The sequence below is a fragment of the Homo sapiens genome, chromosome 3, assembly GCF_000001405.40.
Source record: "Homo sapiens chromosome 3, GRCh38.p14 Primary Assembly".
NCBI classification, from domain to species: Eukaryota; Metazoa; Chordata; class Mammalia; order Primates; family Hominidae; genus Homo; species Homo sapiens.
In genome coordinates, this window is record NC_000003.12 from 168,097,187 (window position 1) to 168,120,674 (window position 23,488).

A 23,488-nucleotide genomic window follows, 5' to 3' on the forward strand; every position below is an offset into this window, starting at 1 on the left:
GGCATTTATACCACTGTAAAAATAAAGTGTGTCTTGCATGTGCTTTTCCTTAATAAATAATAACTTGCGTTAAATTATTCAAAATGCTTTCGTGTGCAGATACACTGTCTCACTGATCACAGCCAGGGTGTTAGACTTTCATGTTGGTAAAGAAGCCAAAGTTTATCAAAGTGACTATGACAGCTCTAGGACCTTTTAGGTCTTGCATAAAGTTAGTTACTCAGCAAGATTAGAATCCAGATCCAAACCCTGCTCTATGTCTTTTTCTTCAATAGAAACAATGTTCTCATTCTATTAAACAAGTTACAGTAAGAAATTATATCTCCATTAACATGAGAATCTGATTGTAAAAGAAAACAGTCTAAAGGAGTTTGGGAGTTTTGTTGTGTAAATACTACATAATCTTCCTTATTATTAAATCTACCACTTTAAATTCCTCTTTTTTAGTTTGACTCTCAGAAATTAACATTGGATAATTACTGGAATCTCTTTAAAATTCCTCATAACTAAACATTCCTTACTGTTGTCAGAGTACTTTGTTAAACAAACTCTTCCTCCAAAAACACTATCCAAATTTAGGCTGGGCATGGTGGCTCACTCCTGTAATCCCAGCACTTCTGGGAGGTTAATGCGAACAGATCGCTTAAGTTTGGGAGTATGAGACCAGCCTGGGCAACATAGCAAAACCCCTCCTCTACAAAAAAAAAAATATATAAAAATTTAGCTGGGCATGGTGGCGTGCACCTATAGTCCCAGCTACTCGGGAAACTGAGTTGGGAGGATCCCTTGAGCCTGGTAGGTAGAGGTTGCAGTGAGCCAAGATCACACCACTGCACTCCAGCCTGGGCGACAGAGGTGAGACTCTGTCTCAAAATAAATAAATATATAAATAAATAAAGTTTATGGCAATAATCTTGCCCCATATTTGAAGAGAAAATTATCCTAGCCACAAAAGAAAAAGAAGTTGTATAGAGGGTTGGAAAATTATTGCTCATATATTGTACAATATGTATTTTAGAATCTTTGGAAAATTCTTATGTTTCCTGAATGTATGATTCATCTTAAACCTCTGATTCCTTTGCATCTGATTCCAGACTCCAAAGATATTCTTTGCCTAAAGCTGCTGGCTGACTCTACAGAACATAATAAATGCAGGCCATAAAACACAACTCAATATTTTAGTCATAAAATTTGAAAGACAGCAAAAATTATTACCTGAACTTATCCATTATTTCAAATTCAAGAAGGGTATGTAGAAGTACATAAAATTACTAATGGTGGTATTTTTATAATATTACATTTCCAAGGTAAAGTATGCTGCTAGTTTCCTGAAAATGTCAGTATAGAGCTTTTGAGCGGCCAACATGAGGAAGCTATCCAAGGCCTATAAAATGAATTTACATAACATTGCCTTTGGGTAGCAATTATAACATAACAGCTGTTTATACTGGTCTTGGAAGGTGTGTTGTTCATTCTATTTTATTTTTGCTTCTTTGTTATTTTAAAAATAGTATATATAATTATATTTCTATATTCCATATATTTAACAATATATTTAACTTTAAATTATAAACCCTGAAGAATTTTACTGATTTAGTATTTTATTTCTGAGGCAGGAAGAAATTAACTTAAAGATACTCAAGGTCTTACATTTGAGAAGGGCAAATATAACATTTGGGAATATTAATTCTCTCTAACTTAAGTGAATTTGTCATTTTAATCAAATTTGTTCATTTTCAAAATAAGGGAAGGAAAAAATAAAAAGTTGAGAGAGACAGCTGACGTATAATTTCTAAAAGTAAGATTTTAAATTAATAATATTTAGGATCCTAGAGTAAATAATTTCTATTATCTAAATCTTTTATTTAAATTTCTTTACTACAAATGGAACTCAATATTTTGTAATTTGTAGGAGAAATCATCACCTAAGAAAAGGTGATGAATAGTAAATAAAATTTAAAATAGCTTTTCAGTATTAATAAACTAATTTTAATCTTTTCATCTGACAATTACAAAAGTTATTTATCCTATAAAACAATCTTCACTCTATGATGTCTTCACCTTTTTGCCATTTCATCAGTTTGCTGTCCCCTAATGAATACACTTGCCTTGCTGATTGCCACTTTTACCTGACCTGTTTTGAGAGGTAAAGAAAGCTGCATTCAAGGTATTATGTCTTTTTGAACATTTTGTGAAAGATGTTTTGAGACTCCTTTTTCATAGGATTTTGATAATGACCTAGTAGTAATTGTTAGAAGATTAACAAACTAAAAAGTAGGTCTGTGGTTGAATGCATAACTGAGTAACTGAACCCCACTCAATGTATCTTTATGCCTTGTTTACATCTGTCACTACGTTGCCACCTTTGTAATTTTCAACTATATCTGAAGAGGAGGGCAGAGGAGAAAGTAGATGATTTGTTCTTATTTATAAAAATGCTTTTCAATGAGAGAAACCTTACCATCAATATCACTAAGAAATACCTTCTGAGGCCGGGTGCGGTGGCTCACGCCTGTAATCCCAGCACTTTGGGAGGCTGAGGCAGGCGGATCACGAGGTCATGAGATCGAGACCATCCTGGCCAACATGGTGAAACCCTGTCTCTACTAAAAATACAAAAATTAGCTGGGCATGGTGGCGTGTGCCTGTAGTCCCAGCTGCTCGGGAGGCTGAGGCAGGAGAATCGCTTGAACCTGGGAGGCGGAGGTTGCAGTGAGCTGAGATTGCGCCATTGCACTCCAGCCTGGCAACAGAGCGAGACTCCATCTCAAAAAAAAAATAAATAAAATAAAATAAAAATAAATAAATACCTTTTGAATACAGACTACTAATAATGGACGTGATTTAGAAGTCCCTATTTGCCACAGGATGTGTAGCTAGTCTAAAGGAAGAGGAACTATCATTTCAAACCTCTAACAACATTCTAAAGCAGGATATCTAGCCAACCCTAAACTTTTCCAAATTCTAAGGCAGTATACGAAATCATTATGAATATGTTGCTTAATGTTTGTTACAGCTAGCATATAATGAGCTAACTACCACATTTTTTTTTCAGTTTAATTTCATAGGAAGTTAGAAAGAATGGAAAGGGAGCATATGTGAGCCTCAGAAGTGAACTTCCTAAATCTTCCAATGGCTCATCCAGCTTCTCACCAACTCACTGCCTTTAATAGTCAAAGACTTTAGATAAGCAGAGATACCACAGAAAAGATCAGTGGCCAGTAAAACATGACATTTTTTAATGTCCCCTCCCCCAAAATATTATAATTTATTGGATTGATTTTTATGAAAGCTATACTTAGTTTACTCATGACCATTTTATAAAATTGGCATTACAATTTTAATATGTTATAACATATAGTAATTTTTTAATTGTGATGAGGGTGGCTGGTCATATTTATAAAGTATCCAATGCCAAGTTCTGGGTCAGAAATTCAACGTTTAATTTTAGAATTATTCCTAAGGGAAATAATAATCTGCTTCATAAATGCTATTTAAACTATAGTTTTCAGGAATATTTTGAGTCAGAACAAAATGACTACCAATAATTTTAGTTAGAAATAAAGTGGAACAAATTTTCAAACAAAATATAAGAAGAATTGAGTTATCACAGCATTAAATTCTGCCCAAATTAAAATTGTGAAATGGAAACATTTGTCTTGGATCACTCTGCTCTCTAGTTCAACTCTTCAGCTCCTGGCATCCAAAATTTTAGTTATCCCCCTTGGTTTTCCAGAATCCTAGACTATGACTATGCCTTTCTCTCCCAACCTCACCCACTCATATACACAAACTTGGACTTGCCTTCTTCAAGACAAAGTAGCCTAATCTAAAATGACTCTTCCTTTCCTTTAGCTGCTTAATCAGAGGAAAGAAAACTGGGTATGTTAACTAACAGGAAGATATTAAAACTGAATTACTAACTTAGTCTTCTACCCAACAATTTTGAGAGAAACTATTAAATGAAAAGACTGAACTCCAATGGCATAATTCTAGACTGCCTGCAGAGTAGATAAGTGACAACTGTGGCTTGACTTTTTGCTAGTTTGTCCCTGATTCTCCTGCACAATTCTAACGAGCCTTAGAAGAATTTAGAAGATGACTCAAGATGTGTAGCATCAAGGCACAAATTCCATTGAAGTTACAAATGATCTTGAAGGTCAAGAGTAAGTAACTGTTAGGACCATTAATTCTTTCATCTGTAAAATGGAAAGGATAACCATAGCTCTCCTGCAATGCTCAGAGAAAATTGCCTAAGAAATTAATCCACAACACTTGAGAAGCGAAACTTCTCACTTTACGTAAAACTCAGTGCCGTAGTGGTACTTGTCATTGTCCACCTAAAATGGATTGGACCATTTGCTTACCTTCAGAAAGTTTCATACTTTTCAGAAAAACTACCATTTACTTTTTAAAATTAAGCTTCAGCTACCCAATTTAAAATGATAATTTTCCAATTATACTTGTCAAGCGAGCTTCTTTAGTTGCTGAGAAGGGGTAAATTATGATTGCAAAACAAAGAAATGTTCTTGTGACACATTCATTCAAGACTGACTTCTAATTCTTGGGTTGTAATTTATAACTAATTCTTAAATACAGTTTAAATCTCAACATTTTTAAAAATAGTTACTGTGTGCAAGGCACAGTGCAAGGACAGAGTGCAAGATGGGTGATGCAGTGATGAATAAACGAGGGATCCTCATTTCAAAGAGCTTGCGGACTTTGTATTAATTTGTTTAAAGACTATATTGAAGCTCTGGTTGGAAATTTAATTGCTCAGGGAAAGAGCAGAACAGGAAAAGAATAGGCCTAAGGATGCAATCAAGATATTTCTAGAGAAGGTGGCCTCTTGAGGTAATTGAGACAAGTGATCGGTTAATCAGTGAAGTCAGTTAAAGCCAAAAATTATAAAAGTGATGCAAAGACACCTTAAAACATATAAATGGGCCGTACGCAGTGGCTCATGCCTGTAATCCCAGCACTTTGGGAGGCCAAAGCGGGCAGACTGCTTGAGCCCAGGAATTGGAGACCAGCCTGAGCAACATTGCAAAACCCCGTATCTACAAAAAAATACAAAAATTAGCCAGGCATTGTGGTTCACACCTGTAATCCCAGCTACTCAGAACAATGAGACGGGAGGATCACTTGAACCAGGGAGGTCCAGGCTGCAGTGAGCCCTGATGGTGCCACTGCTCTTCAGCCTGGGTGACAGAGCGAGACCCTGTCTCAAAATAAATAAATAAGAATAAAAATAATAAAGAATAAAATAAGAAACATATCACTGTACTTTCACTGAATTCTCTTTTAATGTGGGACCCAAGGCCTCTGCTTTACGGGTGGACCTGTTGTTGGTTAGGGCTTAGGTTTGTCTTTTAGCCATAGAACACCATTCACAGTTTCCAGTTTCAGCTTCATTGAGTGGTGGATGGTAAGGTAATGTCAATGTAAAATACATCTAAATGTAAAGGATTTTTTTTTTCTTGGTCTTGGTGCTCACCTAATTTGACTGCAATTTTTCTTTAAGCTATCAGCCATCATGGAGCTTTTCCAAAGCATTCACCTTAATTTTCATAGAAATAACTCTTTTTTAGCCTCATATTTCTTAGTTTGCATAATATTTGGTTAAATTACATAATGAAAACAGCAAGAATTGCATAAACAGTCTTAGAATAAACCACTTGTCTCTGCTAAGCACACAGCTCAATTGACATGTACATACCTACTCGAGATTAGCTTATGTGCCAGTCTTCAGCCCTGAAGTGTGGAGGGGAAGGACAGGGAGGCTTCTGTTGATCTGATTTGCAGAGAAGAGGAGAGCCTCCTCTAATCGAGTGAGTTGCGTAAGTAACATTAATTGCTTCTACTATACATTCAAATGACTAGTAAGGTAACAGGAGGAATTGTTGGTCGAGAAAAATTATGTGAGAAAAGTGACCAGGAAACCAAAGGAATCCAGAAGAGAGTTCTTCAAGAGAGGGGAGTGTTACTGATAGGACTACTGAGAGGGCAAGTAAAATAAAGCCAAACAGGCCATAGAGTTAACAGAGTAGGGATGAGGTAGAAAATTGCAAGAGTATGGCAGATAAATGGGTAAAAGTAAATATGAAAAGAGGTGTGGTAAGGGTGAACTTTGGTGTTAATATGTTTGGCTGAGAAGGGAGATTAAATTGGGTGTAGCTTCAATAGAAGAAACCAGGTTAAAATAAAGTTTGCTTTTTGGTTTTGAGTCTTGGCTTCATTTGATTTTTGGTTTTTGGCTTGTTTGGATAGCATATACTTAACAGTGTTTGGAAAGGAACCAGTGGAGAGAGATAGGTTGAAGATGTGAAGAGTTACATTTAAGAATAGATTCTAAGAAGCAAAGAAGGGTCTGCCTCAGTCATTAGAATGTATGGACCATTATTTCTTATGGCAATATCCTATCACACAGTAGTTCATTTTCCATATTAAAGGCTCAATAAATTATTGAACAAATGATCTGAAGAGTTACTAAAAAGAAGGAATTTGAAAAGATTGCCTAGATAACTGAACAAGAAATTTGTTTGAGGGCCTAAGGTCTTGTGTGCTTGTATTAATTTACTTTGATTAAATGGGTACACTCAAAAAATGGGCATGAGTTTATAATAATATCCCCAATAGAGAATCTGCAAGACAATACCTATGCATAATATTTAAGAAGAGAAACTATTTCTTCTTTGAAAAGAGTAATTGGTCCATTAAAATTCTTTTTATGTTAATTGTTAGATGTGATGCTTACTAAGTAGTTTATGACATATGCAAATATTTCATAATGTTAAATGGATTTAGAATGTAAAGTGGTATAAACAATATAATCACAAGAATGTTAAAATATTTATAGAAAAACTTTTATTATATCTTACTACTTTTAGGTAATTAGATGAAGAGAGGGAAAAAAGGTGAGTATTTTTTAGTAACCCATGATAATCAATTTATTCTCTTCAGGATAATGATGCTTTCTACTCATTCGCAGTCTTTAACATTGTTGAGCATATCTGTGATCATAAGATCTGTTTTCTAAGAGGAGTGAGTTGATATCACACCATATCAAAGGAGGACAAGATCCCCAGCACTGGAACTGCCATTGCACACATTTCTCCCATCCTCTTTCTCTTCCATCAACTAAGTGTGCTTTCTAGTTGATCTCAGATGTGACTAGCATGATGTGTTGTATTTGTATTTCTTTTTGTTTGAGAAATTTAAAAAGCTTCACAAACAACATCTAAAAAATCTCTTTAAAACACTTTAAAAAATAGACATCTCAACATTTTCTTTTACTAATCATGTCTAGCACTGTGCCTGGTACATAGTAAACACTGAATAAATTTTTACTGAGTAAATGAATCAACTTGGCACACAAGATGGAATCTATTTTTCACCCCTGCCATATGTCAAAATAAAAAGCAGAGGAATTCATAAGATAAATGTTAGAAAGAGAGATAAGAAGAAAAAAATCTAGAGGAAAATATAGGATAACATTTATCTGATTTAAAATGTAGTACAACTTTCTAAGTAGAGAAGCATTAGAAAAAATGGCAAGGGAAAGCAAACAGATTGGACTACTTGAAAATTAAACTGTTGAATTTCAAACAATACTAAAAAATTTAAAAGCAAACGCATAGGGAAATATTTATACAGATTAAATAGATTGCATAAATTACAACTTTCAATTAAATAACTGTACATTGTTGAAAACACTAAGATAATTAAAGAATTACAAAGTTCATAAACAGATAATTCATAGAGTAGAAACAACTGAAAACTTTGTAAGAAAGTTTTCAATCTCATTAGCAATTAAAGAAATGGAAACACTACTAATAATCTTTTATCATTAATAAAATTAGCAAAGTTTTAAAAAAGTTCATATTAAAATTAATTCAATATGGTAAAAAATTTTAAAAGATATGCTGCAAAGAGAACTATAAATTGATACACATTTTCTGGAAAGCAAATTGGCAATATGATCAAGACCATAAAATATTCATTCAGGCTCTTATTTAGTAATTTCCCTTCTAGAAATCTATCCATAGAAAGTAATCTGGATCCCAGAGAAACATTTTTCATGCAAAGATTATCATTACAAATCTAGCTATTGTAGGAAAAATAAATACAAACAACCTAAAGGTTGAACTGTTGAAGAATAGTTAAGTTATGGTATAAAGAGTAGAATATTAACCGGCAATTTCAACTGGTTATGCTAGTGTGGGATCCTCAGAAATGGACCCGAAAGAAAGGGTTAATGTGAAAAAGGATTATTAAGAGGAATTCATATTTGAAAAAACAGTAAGGTAGTGGGAGGGATGGCAAACAAGCAAAATCCCTTAGAAAGTAACTTTTGCTCAATCTCTCAGAAGAGCTGTAGAGAAAGTATAGATCATACCTCAGAGTTGGTTCCATTGGGAGCAAGGAAGCTGCAGTATTTATATTCTTGTTCCATGAAGTCATTGATTAAGGGATAGGGCAAGGGGAGTAAATTCCCAGAAACTTCCCTACCATTTATGTACAAGCAGACTGAGGGTAGTCCCCCAAAAAAAGCCTGTTACTGGCTGTTGAGAATGAAAGCATACTGAAAGCCTGTGTGCAGGAAAATGGTAAAGGTGTTCAAGTGAATATGCATGTAGTGCTTACATTATCCACTAAACCAATGCTTTCAATGAATACTCAATAATATGTTGAATGCTGAGATAAAAGTAGGTTCAAAATACTGTATAGGGAGACCAGATTTACACCACAGCCTGGAACAACTAAAAAACTGTACCAAACATATGAAACAATGATTTCAAACATTAGACAAAAAGCAAAAGTAATCCTAAAGAGACAGGAAACAAAAGCAGCAAGGCTTATGTTTGTTTTCTACCTATTTCCTGGAGAGGAGGATGCAGCATTTAGATGGGGGAATCCAGGTGGAGCATGGCAATCTCTCTAATAGAGGACACAACCTGGGAGAACAAAGAGGCATTTTGCATTAGGGGAAGCTGGAGGAAGGGTGTACAGAAACTGTACTATTTCTGCAATTTTTCTGGAAGTCTAACATTACTTTAAAAATTTTTAAGTTTTTAAATGTTTCCAAAAGAAAAGGAAAAAATGGCACATGATAACACAAATTCAAAGAAACATGGAGTGGCTATATTAATATCAAGGTAGATTGCAGAGAAAATAATATTATCAGGAATAAAGAAGGTCATTTCCTAACAGTAAAGGGGTCAATTTATCAAAAGAACATAATAATACTAGAAGTGTATACATCTAATAGCAGGACTCCTGAATAAATGATGGAAAAACCAATAGAACTAAGAGTTGAAGCTTATAGTTGAATCCACAGTTACAGTTGAAGCTTATAACATTCTTCTCTCTACCTAGTAAAACACACAGCCAGAAAATCTGTAAGGATATAAAAGACCTGGACAACACTATCACTTAACATGACCTAATTCAGATTTGTAGAACATTCTTCTCAACAGCAGAATGCACATTCTTTTAAAATGCACATGGATCCTTTACCAAGATGGACCACATTATTGGCCATTAAATGAGTCCCAATATATTCAAACCATACCAAGTGCTAGTGAAGATGTGGAGCAACTGGAACTCTCATACACTGTTGGTGGTTATGTAACATGATGGCAACAAATTTGGAAAATAGCAGTTTCTTTTCTTTCTTTTGTTTGAGACAGTCTCGCTCTGTCACCCAGGCTAGAGTGCAGTGACACAATCTTGGCTCACTGCAACTTCTGTCTTTCAGTCTCAAGCAATTCTCCTGCCTCGGCCTCCCAAGTAGCTGGGATTCCAGGCGTGTGCCACCATGCCCAACTACTTTTTGTATTTTTAGTAGAGACGGGGTTTTGCCATGTTGGCCAGGCTGGTCTTGAGCTCCCATCCTCAAATGATCCACCCGCCTCGGCCTCCCAAAGTGCTAGGATTACAGGCATAAGCCACTGCACTCAGCCAAGTTTCTTAAGAAGTATACCTACCATGTGCCCTAGCCATTTCTCTTCTAGGTATTTACACAAAAAACAAAGATTTATGCCCGTGAAAAGACTGTATGCAAATATTTATAGCAACTTTGTTTGTAATAGCCAAAAACTTAAAATAACCCAAAAGTCCTTCATCAGGTGAATCAATAAACAAAGTTTGGTATAGCTACACAATGGAATATTACTTAGCAATAAAAAAGGATGAACATATTCATACACAAAATAACATGAATGTATCTCAAAACAATTATGGCAAGTAAAGAAGGCCAGATAATAAAGAACATATAGTTTATGGAAGTCATCCTAATAAGTATATATTTTTTCTTTAAAGCATTGGGAAGTTATTGATGAATATTAAACAGGGAGGGACATAATGTCTTTAATTTAGAATCTTTCCCTTGAGAGTAGTGTGAACACCAGATCTGAGAGTGGCAAAACCAGAGAGAGAGAGAGGGGTATTAGAACGTCATTAAACTTATACTGTAAATGACTAATAAGGATGGTGGCAGTGAGAATTGAGATGAAATGTGAGAGAAAAACTCCAGGTAGAATTGAATTGATGATTCGTTGTATGGAATGTATTAGTCGGTGTTTTCCAGAGAAACAGAAACAATCTAAGGAATTGGCTCATGCAATTATGGAAGATGAGAAATCCAAGATCTGCACTTGGAAGGTCGGAGACACAGTAGAGATGATATTTTACTTCCAGTTCAAACCTACAGGACTGAAAACTAGGAGAGATGATGGTGTAAGATCCAGTCTGAGTCCAAGTCCAAATGCTAGAGAAGACCAATATCTGTCTGAAGATTGATGTCTGTTTGAAGAAGTCAGGCAGTGAGAAAGAATTTCTCACTGGGTCTTCAATCCTATTCAGTTCTTGTACAACTTGGATGAGCCCCACAAACACTGGGGAGGGCAGTCTGCTTTTGCCAATTCTAATGTTTACCAGTTTGCCAATTCTAATGTTAATCTCATCCAGAAACTGACACACCTAGAAACATGTTTAACCAAATATCTGGGAAGCCTGTGGCCTAGCCAAGTTGACACATAAAATAAATCATCACAAGTTCACTCGTTGTCAATATGGCACCCATAGGGATCTCCTTAAACATAGTTAATCTCCAAATATAGATAATAACAAGGTTATAATTCAATTTACATGATACAACTATCATGTGTACAACCAAAAGCGTGCTAACCTCTTCCCCAGAAGAGGAGGTAAAGTCCTTGAGTGATGTTTATTTTTCTCCTGGTATTGCATAACTTAAATACATTAATATAATGTATACTTATATTAATGTATCAAAAATACTTAAATACTATGACATAAAGTCAATTCAACTTATGTTACATGATAAAGGAATAAGAGACAGAAGAAAATAAAGATGTTTAGTATATATGTATGTGTGTGTATATATGTCCATGTTTATGTATACATGCATATTCATACACACAAACATATTCATAACAAAAGAAGTAGAAACACTCATAAGGACAATTTCAGTCCTCATGTCTGTAACTGGTCATGTGGTCATTGCTTGTTTTTATGACTACTTCCATTATCAATTCTGTATTTTTTATTTGCTTTCAGCAAACGTCAAGGCTGATCATGGTCCTTTACCTGGTAGAGTGGCCCAAACCTTCATTTCTGAAAGGTCTGATTCATTAGAAGTCTTGCCTGGACTGGGTTATTGTAGTTTTCCATTAACCTAAATCACAAGTCATAGTAATTCTAAGAGACGCCCCAAGGGATCTCCAATATTCCAGACATTCTCTTACTTTTACCTCCATTGTGAAGTATTCTAATTCCCCTTGGTAGTTAAGATCAATCACCCCAGCCAGCCTAAAAACTCCCTTCTTATACTGTTGGTTCAGATGCATAAGGAGTTTAAACTGGCCAGAGAGCAGTCCTAACTTCCAGTTCAATGGAATCATTACTTTGTTTCCTCGTGGAAAATTTTCTCCCTTTGGAACCAAGACCTTTAGGCCAGCAGAGCATAAGGGTGGGAACAGGAAGCAAACATTTTGCCAATAGTCCAATAGTGATAATGGCGAGTGGTGCCACTTCCTTTCCACCACTTGATTCCCAGACTTTGGAATCCTGGCTATGGGAGAAGCTGATTCAGATTATATACAACGTTTTGGAAAATCTTGCTGCATCCCTGCAAGTTACTGCCACCTAACTATTACTATTACTGATTCTTCAAAAGGCCATTCCACTGTTCTGTCAAACAAACTGCTTCAGAATGGTGGGAAACATGATAAGACCAGTAAATTTCATGAACATGGGTCATTGCCACACTTCATTTCCTGTGAACTGAGTTTCTTGATTATAAGAAACGCTGTGTGGAAGATCATTATGATGGGCAAGGCATTCTTTAAGTTCATGAATTGCTGTTTTAGCAGAAGCATTGCATGCAAGCAAGAAAAAAATTATACCCAGAATAAGTTTTTATTCCACTAAGAACAAAATGCTGCCCATTCCATAATGAAAGCAGGCCAATGTAATCAAACTGACACATTACCTTCTCTCTCCTACTCTATATCTGTGGCATCCTAGAGAGTTCCCTATGATCAGTTGACAGAGGAGAAGACTCAGATGAACCTGAGCCAAAGTTTATTGATTACCTGACATCTATTGGCCTCTAATGTGACTGGTGGACCACAGTGATGTTTGAGTCTTCTACAATTATTGTCAGTTCAGAGCCACTGTCCAGTAGTCCCCAAAGGTCTGATTATTTCCTTCTCCTCAGTGAATAGTTACCCTAATAAAAGACTATAGATCCCTTTGGGGAAGGCTGGGAGAAAGATTAACAGTATAAATTTTTGGCAGTTTTCCTTTTATTAGTCAGGTAGATTCTTGTCCACCTGACCTAAAACTTTTTGGCTTATACAGATCAAACAATAATTTCGTATGTTTCCTATTTTATTTTTAGGAACATCATGATTAACTATCCAATGTCACATTCTGTGCGAGTCAGACTATTCTGATTGCTGCTTTGACTCTGCTGTTCATTACAGTAACCATATCCACTTTGCCTTTTGTGGTTGAGTGCTGTCACTTTGCCCCTGCCACCCTGGGATTCAATTATTCCTGTTGCATTTATATTTTTCAATTTAGTGACCACAGTCCCCACTATAGTGTTCAGCCTACAGAGAAGAATGATTACAGAGCTCTTTCAGGATGTCAGGGCTCCTTTTATGAAATTATTTCTCAGAGTAGTGGTGAAAGTTTTGTCTTCTGGACCCTTCCAAGTGGGTGAGTAGGTATTAAATGACAAATTCACTCTACCATTTCAATCTCCCTAAGCATTTGAATTCCTTCTAATACATTAAACTAAGGCAGGTCTGGCATTTCTATTTCACTCATGATGGGTCCCATTTTGGTCCATGTTTTAGACAACCAACCGGACACACTGGTGGTAGAGCCTTTCCTCACTCCATGAGCTGCAATATTAAATGGAGAATCTCTGCTTAGTGAGACCAAAATAAGTTCATACTGATCCAACTTTATGTTTCTATTATCATTATCCCACTTCCTCAATATTCATTCTACACATGTTCCCCAGATTTTTGTTGTGTAAATATAAAATAGTTCTTTTGGAATGTAGCATACTTCCTCATGAGATACAGCTTATATTTTTCTATTAGGGACTTACTAGGACTTGAGTCTAGTCTAGAAGCAAAGTGGGGTGTTGGTGGGGTCCTGAGGAGAGTCAGTATTATCTTTCATGGTAGCTGTTGCAGCGGAGGCCACCTCAGTTTCCTTAGGCAATGCAGGATTGATCCCCTCAGATTCAGGTGGAAAGGCCAAAAATACGAGGGGTGGGAGTCACTAACCCCTGAGGGTAGGGAAGCTACTTCTACTAGAGAAGCTGTTTTTACAGTCTTCTGAAGAGAAGATTCATCAGAATTTAGGGACTCAATGTCCCCAGCTTCATTAGGCTCTTCTTTCCACATATGCATATTCCAACTGATAGAACCCCTGTTTTTCCTAATCAATGCCCTCACTTTAAGAGTTGACACCATTCAAGACTGGGAGTTCAACTTGTGTTGTAATTTAGCCAATCACAGGATGAAATTCTGCATTTGATTTTCAGTAATCTGAGCCCTGGAACTGTGAGATAAGAGTCTCCTTTGGGCACACATAGATGCTTTTCAGATCATATAAATGCACCTGAGTTGAGAATTGGAATCCCTGAGCTCATCATTTTCTTTCACCACTTTGTCCAGCTGCATTAGGAACAATCAGTTAGCCTTATTATATCTGTTAGATTTCCAAAATGTTTGTAAGCATCATATACACAGTCACCTAGCTCCTTGCTTCTTATGAGTAGTTGACTATGAGTATCCAATGGAGGTATGTTGCGTATCTCTGTTGCGAGATCATGTGAACGATCATCGATTACTTTACTACTGGACATGGTCATTAAAATATTTAAATCTAACAATATTAGAGAGCTGTTTTAGTTCATTCAGGCTGCTACAACAAAATACCTTAGAATGGGTAATTCATAAACAACAGAAATTTATTGCTCACAGTTCTGTAGTCTGGGAAGTCCAAAACCAAGGCACCAACAGATTCAGTTTCTTGTGACAGCTTTCTCTCTACTTTAAAGATGGCATCTTCTTGCTGCATCTTAACATAACATAGGAGAAAACGTGCCTTTCAGTTCTTATCATGAGGGCACTAATCCTATTGATGGGGGTGGAGCCCTCATGACTTAATCACTTTTTTCAAGTCCCTATCTCTTGATACTATTACACTGAGGATTAAGTTTCAATATTTTGGGGTGATACATTCAGGTCATAGCAAGAGCCAACTCCAGAAAACCCAGAGCCAATTCAGAAAACTCATTCTTAAAATTCAATGCCTCTACAATCACTCTTGATACCAAAATCTGTGTTAGTCTGGGTTTTCCAAAGAAATAGAAGAAATAGGATATATATTTTTCCTTATTGAAATACATTTACTAGAAGGAATTGGCTCATGGGACTATGGAGGCAGAAATGCCCAAGATCTGCAGTCTGCAAGCCGGATACCCAAGAGAGCGGATGGTATAGTTCCAGTCTGAGCTCAAAGGCTTGAGAATCAGGAGGGCTGATAATACAAGTTCCTGTCCGAGTCTAAGTGTGAAGGCAGAAGAGTGATGTCTTGTGTGAACACTGATATTCCAGTTTGAAGAGAGTCAGGCAGAAACACACCCAGAGAAATGTTTAATCAAATATCTGACTGACCTGTGACTCAGTCAAATTGACACATAAAATTGACCATCATGTGGAGGATAAAAATGAAAGAAAGGATCAAAGACAGCTTTCTGTTTTCTACTTTAGATCCTTGCATGAATGGTGGCTCCATACTTTCTAGAGAGAGTATGGAAGGAAGAACAGATTTGAGGCACATCTAAGAAGTTAGGTGCTAGGCATGTTTTATGAAGCAGGTACAGGGTATCCAATTATACATCATGGCTTTTGATCTGGATTAAAGATATAGAATTGAGAGCTAGTAGTATATAAGCTTTAGAGAGAGTGGATAAAATTTCTCAGAAAAAGTATGCATAATAAGAAGAGTAGATGGTGAAGAATGGAGCTCTGGAAAATTGTTAACGTGAAAAGACAAGAAAGTTAATGGCACAGAGGCAAAATAAGGCAGAATGAGACCAGGAAGTCAAGGTAGGAGTTTTAAAAATGAGACAAAGGAAAATTGTATCATTCACTGCAGAGAGGTTATACGTGGTAAATATTGAAAAGTGTTCAACAGACATAGCAAACAGAAGATTCATGTTATATTCAGGAAGAGCAATTGCAGAGATGGAAAGGGTTGAGAAGTGACTTAGTGGAGAGGAGATAGAGACATGAAACATACACTACTCTGTCAGCAGCTTAGATTGATGGGAAGTGAAGAGATGACATAGGATGGAAATAGAGTCAAAGAAAGCTTTTAGAAAGTGCTGAGGTGAAGATTAGTGATGGGAAAAGGAATGACAAGGAACAGCTCCCTGGAGTGTTACAAGGCATAAAATCCAGGGCTTATAAAAAGGTGGGTTTTAGACACGCTGGGATCACTGCCCATTCATTTTTTTTCTCATCTAGATAAACATAGGTAAGTCTGTCGTTACAATATTCTATTGTACGTGATAACAATTTCTATTTTTTAGATATGTGAACCTTTTGTATAAGCTTAGGAAATTGCTTTACTTCATGATTTCAAAAATTATCTATATCCAAATGGATAATATATTTGAAAACGCTGCAAAATGTAAAGAGTTATATAACTTCCAGCAGCATAGTCACTGAGAATGATTTGAAAAAATATATAATTTTGTCCTTTACTCTCTACCTCAATAATGATAATAAGTCCCAGGTTATGTGTTTCTTTTGTAAGACATTCACCCTTTTTGCCTTTCTTTCTCCTTCTATTTCTTCAAAATACCCTTCAAATCACTCTTGTGCCTATGGCCCACTTTTTTCTGCACTACTCTAACAATCTTCTAACAGTTCTCTACTTTGCCAATTTCTGTCCCTAGAATCTATCCTGAATACTGTAGCCAAATTTAATTTTCTTGAAACACTAATTGTAACTTTGCTATTCTATTCACAATTTCCCAGTGGCTTTCCCAAACTCTGCCCTGCATTAAACACAAGATAAAGTTCATATTTCTTAGCCTAACATTCAAGGTATTCTATAATCTAGTCTTCACTTTCCTCTTCAACCTTCTCTCCAACTTCTACATAGCATCTGCTTATCTTCCACATTGGTCAAATTGGTGTGTTCTTTTTTTCTTGAAAGTCATATGGATGGGCCATATATTGTTTAAAAATTCAGGCACTGCACAATATTAGGAGACACCATTCAACTGCAATGTGATTGGTGCCCAGTAGGGTTGTGCACTGCACAACCTGTATAAATGTAAGTAGTGGCCCCTATTTCACAGCAGAAATATTATAGCTTCTGTCCTCCTTTCACATCATCACCTGCAGCTGAATTGCCATTTCCATTTTTTTAAAACCTGCATACAATAAAGTTGTAATAACGAGATCAAATTTAAACTCATGAACCCAGGATTCAAAGCCTTCTTTAAGCTAACCTACTTCCACCATCTAATCTTACTCTCAACTTAAATTATCCGTTATAAGTGAGTCTACAATTAAGTCTCTGCAGATAGAATGCTTACCTCTAAACGATTTCATTCTCTTTCCTTCCTTCAATCATATTTTCTTCCCACCCTTTTCCAACAATTCAAAAACAATTCATCCTTCTTTAATCAAAACAGCTTTCGCTGTCTCCACAAAATCTTCAACGATTATTCTATTCCACAATCATTCTTTCTTTCTTGAGTTACTATTAAGGTTATAATCTGTGCTGAAATATTTAACACTTGGACAATATCATTTCTTATATTCATTCATTTGTTATGCCTTACATTTTGTCAGCCACCAACTAGACCGTGATTCCTCAGTGGTTGAAATGTCAGCTTTTCTATCGGTTGTACCCCTTGAACATAATACAAAGCCATACAATACATGTTCGTTGATTTGATATTTTCACTGAGATTTAAAAAATTGTAAAGGTAACTCTTACGTTAATCTGTGAAGGTCCTTAAAAAGTTAATTTAATCTGTAATTTATAGTGTAATTTTATAGTTTTTTACTACAAAAACTATAAACTATAAACTATTATCATTTGTATTTGTATTTCATGAGAAATTAGGCTCTCATTCTTTATCTGGTGTGACTACATGAAAGCCAAGCAAAGCCAATGACTGTCTTTCTTGGAATATGAGAGACGAGGCTGCTTTTGCCTTTCTTGACCACCATGTGAAAAATACCTCCTTGAACAATGAAGTGAAATGGGTATAGAAAGAGTAGAGACATGAAGAGAGAGGGAACTATAAGGACATTCTTTGAGCTCCTCAATCTTTTTATACTTGAGATCAACTGCATCCCTAAACTATGCATTTATATGATCCAGTAAATTCCCTTTTTAGAGACTAAGCCGTCTTGGACTGCATTTCTGTTATTTTGCAACTGAAAGGGATCTGACTCAATACATATATAATATCATCCTATTATCTTGCATTTTGTATATAGAAGGCACTATGCTAGGTAACATGAATGATACTCATCCATGTGGGCAAATGGCCCATATTCTGCTACAATCTAATGAGATAGGATGTGTGCAGATAATAACATAGCACAATACATGATGGATGCCACATGGGAAGTACAAAGGGCTATGGAAATTTGGATAAAGGACCAATCCCTTTTGCCTGGAGGGGTCACAGAGGCTCCATATAGAAGGTGACATTAGAAATGGTGCAAGGACAGTGCAAAGCTTCCTCAACAAATGATGAAAGGTCTAATAATACAAGAATTTTGGTTTTGTAAAATGAGGATTAGAAATTAAGTTAGAAACATAAGTTAGGGCCAAAGAATGGATAAGGTTAACAACACTAAGATAAGGCATATGAGCTTCATTCATTAGGAAAAAAGGAGCCAAGATAGGAAAATGGTAAAAAAAAAAATTGTAAAATGCACATAATATTGAAAAAATAAAATTGGAGCTAGTATGTAATTCCAGAACTTGGGAAAGGAAGGTTTGATAGTGTGAATTATAACATTTGTAAATGTTATGAACAAATTTCCTTTGTTTATGTTTTCTTATAAATATTTTCTTACTGATATTGGTATCAGTATCAATGTCTGTCAACAAAATATATTTCTAGAGAACTATACCCACAAATATGAAGAAATTTAAATTAGTATCTGCCTTGTAAAGATTTTAATTATTTATAGTATCTGTATTCTTCAAAGATTAATCCTTTGCCCCAAACCATAAAGCAATCAGTGCTTTGATTAAGTTTGGATCAGTTTTTAGTACTTTAAAATATGTTTGTAACTTTACCCATTTAACTCAAGGGTGGGGATTATTACATTTACTTGGAATTTCCATAAGCTTGAAAGTAGAGCACATTCTTTGGGTTGTATTATTCAGGTATTTTTAGAAAATAGATTATCTTATTTCATTCATTATCCTTTATCCAGTTATACTTGGCACTCAGAAGACTTGGTTTTGCATTGTATGCACACACTTAAAAAGGAGCCAGGAGAAGTCCTCTTTCACTGCTTGTGGGTAGTAAATGACATACTGCGCAGCAGCAGCCAAGTAAAGAAGCAAACTTACCACAGAATCATGAGACAGCCCCATCTGTAATTCTGGGTGTAGCTGTGGTCACACGCCAAGCCTTTGCTCTGGAGGAGTTAAATAGGACTCCTTCCCAGAACTTCTGAGAACAGCCATATCAGGGCTCCACTTGTCCGTCCTGACCTGATGCCAAGTATTTGATGACCAGTGGCTCAGAGACTCAGAAAGATCTCTTCTACCTAGCAACTGCTTGTCTGGCCCCAATTCACTTATCAACGGCCATGCTGCTCTGTGACAAAGAAATGTCTTCATATGGAGAACCAGGACCTGCTTTAATAATCCTGAGAAGAGTGAAGAATTAAATTACATTTTGTTTTCCCTACTGGTAGGGTCATGGAAACTTATTACATGCACTTTAGAAAGATTTCCACTTAAAGAATGTTAAAATTAAAGAAAAGTTTTGTGTGGAAAGGGTAACCGTCAGGTATCTGAGAAAGAAAAAAAAAGCAGCTGCTGCTAATCTTCTCTCCTTAAAGACTGACTGAATAAAAATCACCAAATAGGAATTTTTATATTGAATTTGTAATGCAAGCCTGAAAAGCTGAACATGTTTCAAATTTGAGAATCTCCATAAAGCAATTATAGCTGATGTGAGTTCAGTAAATAACATATATTACATACATCTTATTCTAATCTTCTGTTGTGACTTAAGATTATAGTTCACTTAGGATTACACTGAGGCTGGGAAAAAAAAGCAATAGAGGGTGTGAAATTCTAGGGACAAGGTACCTGAGAGAGAATGCTGTTTCTTAGGAGTGGTTCTGCAGGAAATAGTGGCTTTATTGTTGCTAGCAGGCCTAAAGGGCGTCTTCCTTTTGTTTATTTCTTTTATTTCCTATGTACTCATCTGTGTTAGTATTAATGAATTACTCTTTGCTTAAGCACACCATATAAGAGCCTATTTTCCCCATAGCCTGGAACGTTGCCACCACTACCACAAGATGAAACAAGCATGAAAGATTGAGAAGTGCTGCGGTGAAGCAACATTCTCCTTTATTTTCTTTGCTCTTCAGATAATAATGACTCTGGGGAAGGGAGAGAAACTCCAGAACTACTTTGTTCTCTTCAAAGCCCAAGCCTCGGGAGAAAAAGTAAGACGACAAGACACCTCTCAAGCCAGGGGCCTCAAAACACACCAGCCCTGTGCTGGTGTCCTTATTTTATCATATTGATGACGCTGAGTTCAAAAATCCTTTACTTTAAAAAAAAAATAGCTATGAGCAATAGATAGAAAAAAAAGAAACACTTAGAAAACAAACCCACCTTAATGGTGACATTTAAATCAAATGAACCTCCGTTCATTAAATTAAACAAACCTCAGTTCTTTTCATGTACATTTTAAAGTACATTTCTTCTTGGACAATGCAGAATTTTAAGTGTACAAGAAGGAAATACTAATGAAAGGGAATGAAATACCTCTGGATTCTCATCAAGCAATCAAATACTGTAAACAAAGGGAACACATCTTTGCAAATGTTGGATGTACATAGATAAGTAAAGGTTTTCTAGGGTTTCCTGTTAGTTGGCCATCTGCTTTCTAGTAAACAAACAAATGTGGACCCTTTGGACTGTCATTAAGAGCATATGGGTAGAGAACCTAAGGGCTGGTGATATACAAGCTGACAAGTACCTGGCCTACAGGAAGAAGACAGGAAATGGGGAAGGACTTTCTCCAGAAACATAAGCTTACCCACGTCAAGGCTCTCTTCCTATTCATGGACTCTTCAGGATCTAGCCTGCCTAAGTCCAACCAACTCTGCACACTTGGTGGCCTTGAATGAGTAATCTCGCCTTTCCTGTCCTTGTTTACTCACTTGTGAAATGAGAAAAATGAATTAGATCATCTCTTGTGTTTTTTTCAACACTAACATTTTATAATTGAAGTTAAGGGTTTGAAATGAAAAATTAGTTTGTGATATTTGTATCTCTTTTTTATGTTTTAGATTTTTTTAACTTTTTAAACTTTTTTTAACTTTCTTTTAACCATTTTTTAACTTTTATTTTAGGTTTTGGCGTACCTGTGAAGGTTTGTTACATAGGTAAACATGTTTCATGGGGGTTTGTTGTACACGTTATTTCATCACCCAGGTATTAAGCCCAGTACCCAATAGTTATCTTTTCTGCTTCTCTCCCTCCTCCCACCCTCCCCCTTAAGTAGACCCCAGTGTCTGTTATTTCCTTGTTTGTGTTGATAGGTCCTTATCATTTAACTCCCACTTATAAGTGAGAACACGCGGTATTTGGTTTTCTGTTCCTGCATTAGCTTGCTAAGGATAATAGCCTCCAGCTCCATCCATGTTCCTGCAAAAGACATGATCTTATTATTTTTTATGTATCTCTTTTTAGCTGAATATCTATGTGTGCATGTGAACACACAAAATCTTCTAGATCCTTCTAGATCTAATAATTCCTCATGTGTTTGTTTTTGTTTTTGTGATAGGATCTCACTTGATCACCCAGGCTGGAGTGCAGTGGCATGATCTCAGCTCACTGTGTCCTCCACCTCCTGTGTACAAGCAATCCTCATGCCTTAGCCACTAAGTAGCTGGGGCTATAGGTGCGCACCCCCACGCCTGGCTAATTTTTATACTTTTTTGCAAAGACAAAGTTTTACCATATTGCCCAGGCTGGTTTCAAACTCCTGAGCTCAAGGGATCCACTTGCCTCATCCTCCCAAAGTTCTGGGATTACAGGCTTGATTGAGCCACTGTGCCCGGCATTCTCATGTTTTCTCCAATTGATCATATTCCCTTATGTACCTTTGTCATCTCTAAGTAGAACATACTAGCTCTTAAATTGTCTCTTACTGCTCAGTTCTATAATATCTTTCCCACCGTCAAACCATATTAACCCACTTCAGTTTTAGCTCAACCAGTCAACCCTGTAAGGACTATCATGGAGGTGTTAAAGAGAAGGGTCTGGTGTTTGGGATATGATAGCAGAAAAGCTTCACAGCTATGGATGGTTTTAGGACAACTTATGAATACAATTGTGAGATGGTTCAGAATAGATAGAGTTAAATATTATTCATGCTACTATATTTCCCTTACAATTTTTTGATGCTGATTAAACTTATGAGACTTGTTTGCCAGAATTCCCTCAGAGTCCATGAAACAAATCTCCTCTTGCTGATTAGGTAGTTTATTTTGAATTACTGCTGGCAAGATTTGGAGGTATGATTACTCTTCCTTGATTCCTGAACAGATCATTGCCAAGCTTTTAAAAAAAAAATAAAGTTTATATCATAAAAAAAGTAGGTTGTGATATTAAAATCTTAATACACTAAGTTCTGTAATAGCTGGATGTCTTTTTATTACAAACAATATTTAAAAAGCAACCTTAAAGCTTTGTGTATTATTTACACAAACACATACTATCATTATTTTAGTATTTGTTCTTGTGTCTTTTTTTTTTTTTAACTTTGGGGGAAAAAGGGAGAGGGGAATTTATTGACTCATGAGGCTGGAAGTCCAAGAGTTAAGCCAGTGGATCCAGCTGCTCAAGGTGTGTGTCCAGAGCTCATTCTCTGTGACTCTTTCCACACTCCAGCAGTCTTTTTTAGAAGACCAGTAGTAATGTACCTTCGCATGGGAATTTTACTACGGAGTAGCTGCATAGCTGATTTCTGAAAAAAAAAAAAAAAAAAAAAAAAAAAAAAAAAAAAACAGGCTCTACGTCACTTCATAAAGTTTTAATGGGGCAGCACTTATTCTTGGCTGCTCATTTTTTTTTTTTTTTTTTTTTTTTTTTTGAGACGGAGTCTTGCTCTGTCACCCAGGCTGGAGTGCAGTGGCGCGATCTCCGGCTCACTGCAAGCTCCTACTCCCGGGTTCACGCCATTCTCCTGCCTCAGCCTCCCGAGTAGCTGGGACTACAGGCGCCCGCCACCACGCCTGGCTAATTTTTTGTACTTTTGGTAGAGACGGGTTTCACCGTGTTAGCCAAGATGGTCTCGATCTCCTGACCTCGTGATCCGCCCGTCTCGGCCTCCCAAAGCGCTGGGATTACAGGAGTGAGCCACCGCGCCTGGCCGGCTGCTCACTTTATGAGAGTTGGAAAGTCAAGCCTTCTAACTGTGGAGGGAGTAGTCTTTCAAATGGCCGGGTGGTCTCAAGAGAAATCAGAAGATAACTCCTGAAAGATTTCCTAAGGAGGGTTTTTTACACTTTTATTTGTGCACATGTAGGTACCAGTGACTTGAACTTTCAAATATTCAGCTGCATGACTTACAAGATATTTCATATAATTTTTTCTCTTCTGTTCTATTACATGTTTTGCCAATGTAACACCA

At 36.4% G+C, this 23,488-nt stretch overlaps 2 annotated features.

Moving 5' to 3' along the window:
- Positions 19,043-19,543: a transcriptional cis regulatory region, noted in NCBI's record as "candidate enhancer chr3.4789 targeted for multiplex CRISPR interference". NCBI's record gives its function as "positively regulates GOLIM4 gene expression with high confidence in K562 cells {active_cell/tissue: K562}" and the evidence as "EXISTENCE:mutant phenotype evidence [ECO:0000015][PMID:30612741]".
- Positions 20,795-21,089: a silencer, noted in NCBI's record as "tiled region #6960; K562 Repressive non-DNase unmatched - State 5:Enh". NCBI's record gives its function as "represses a minimal TATA promoter and a strong SV40 promoter by Sharpr-MPRA in K562 cells {active_cell/tissue: K562}" and the evidence as "EXISTENCE:reporter gene assay evidence [ECO:0000049][PMID:27701403]".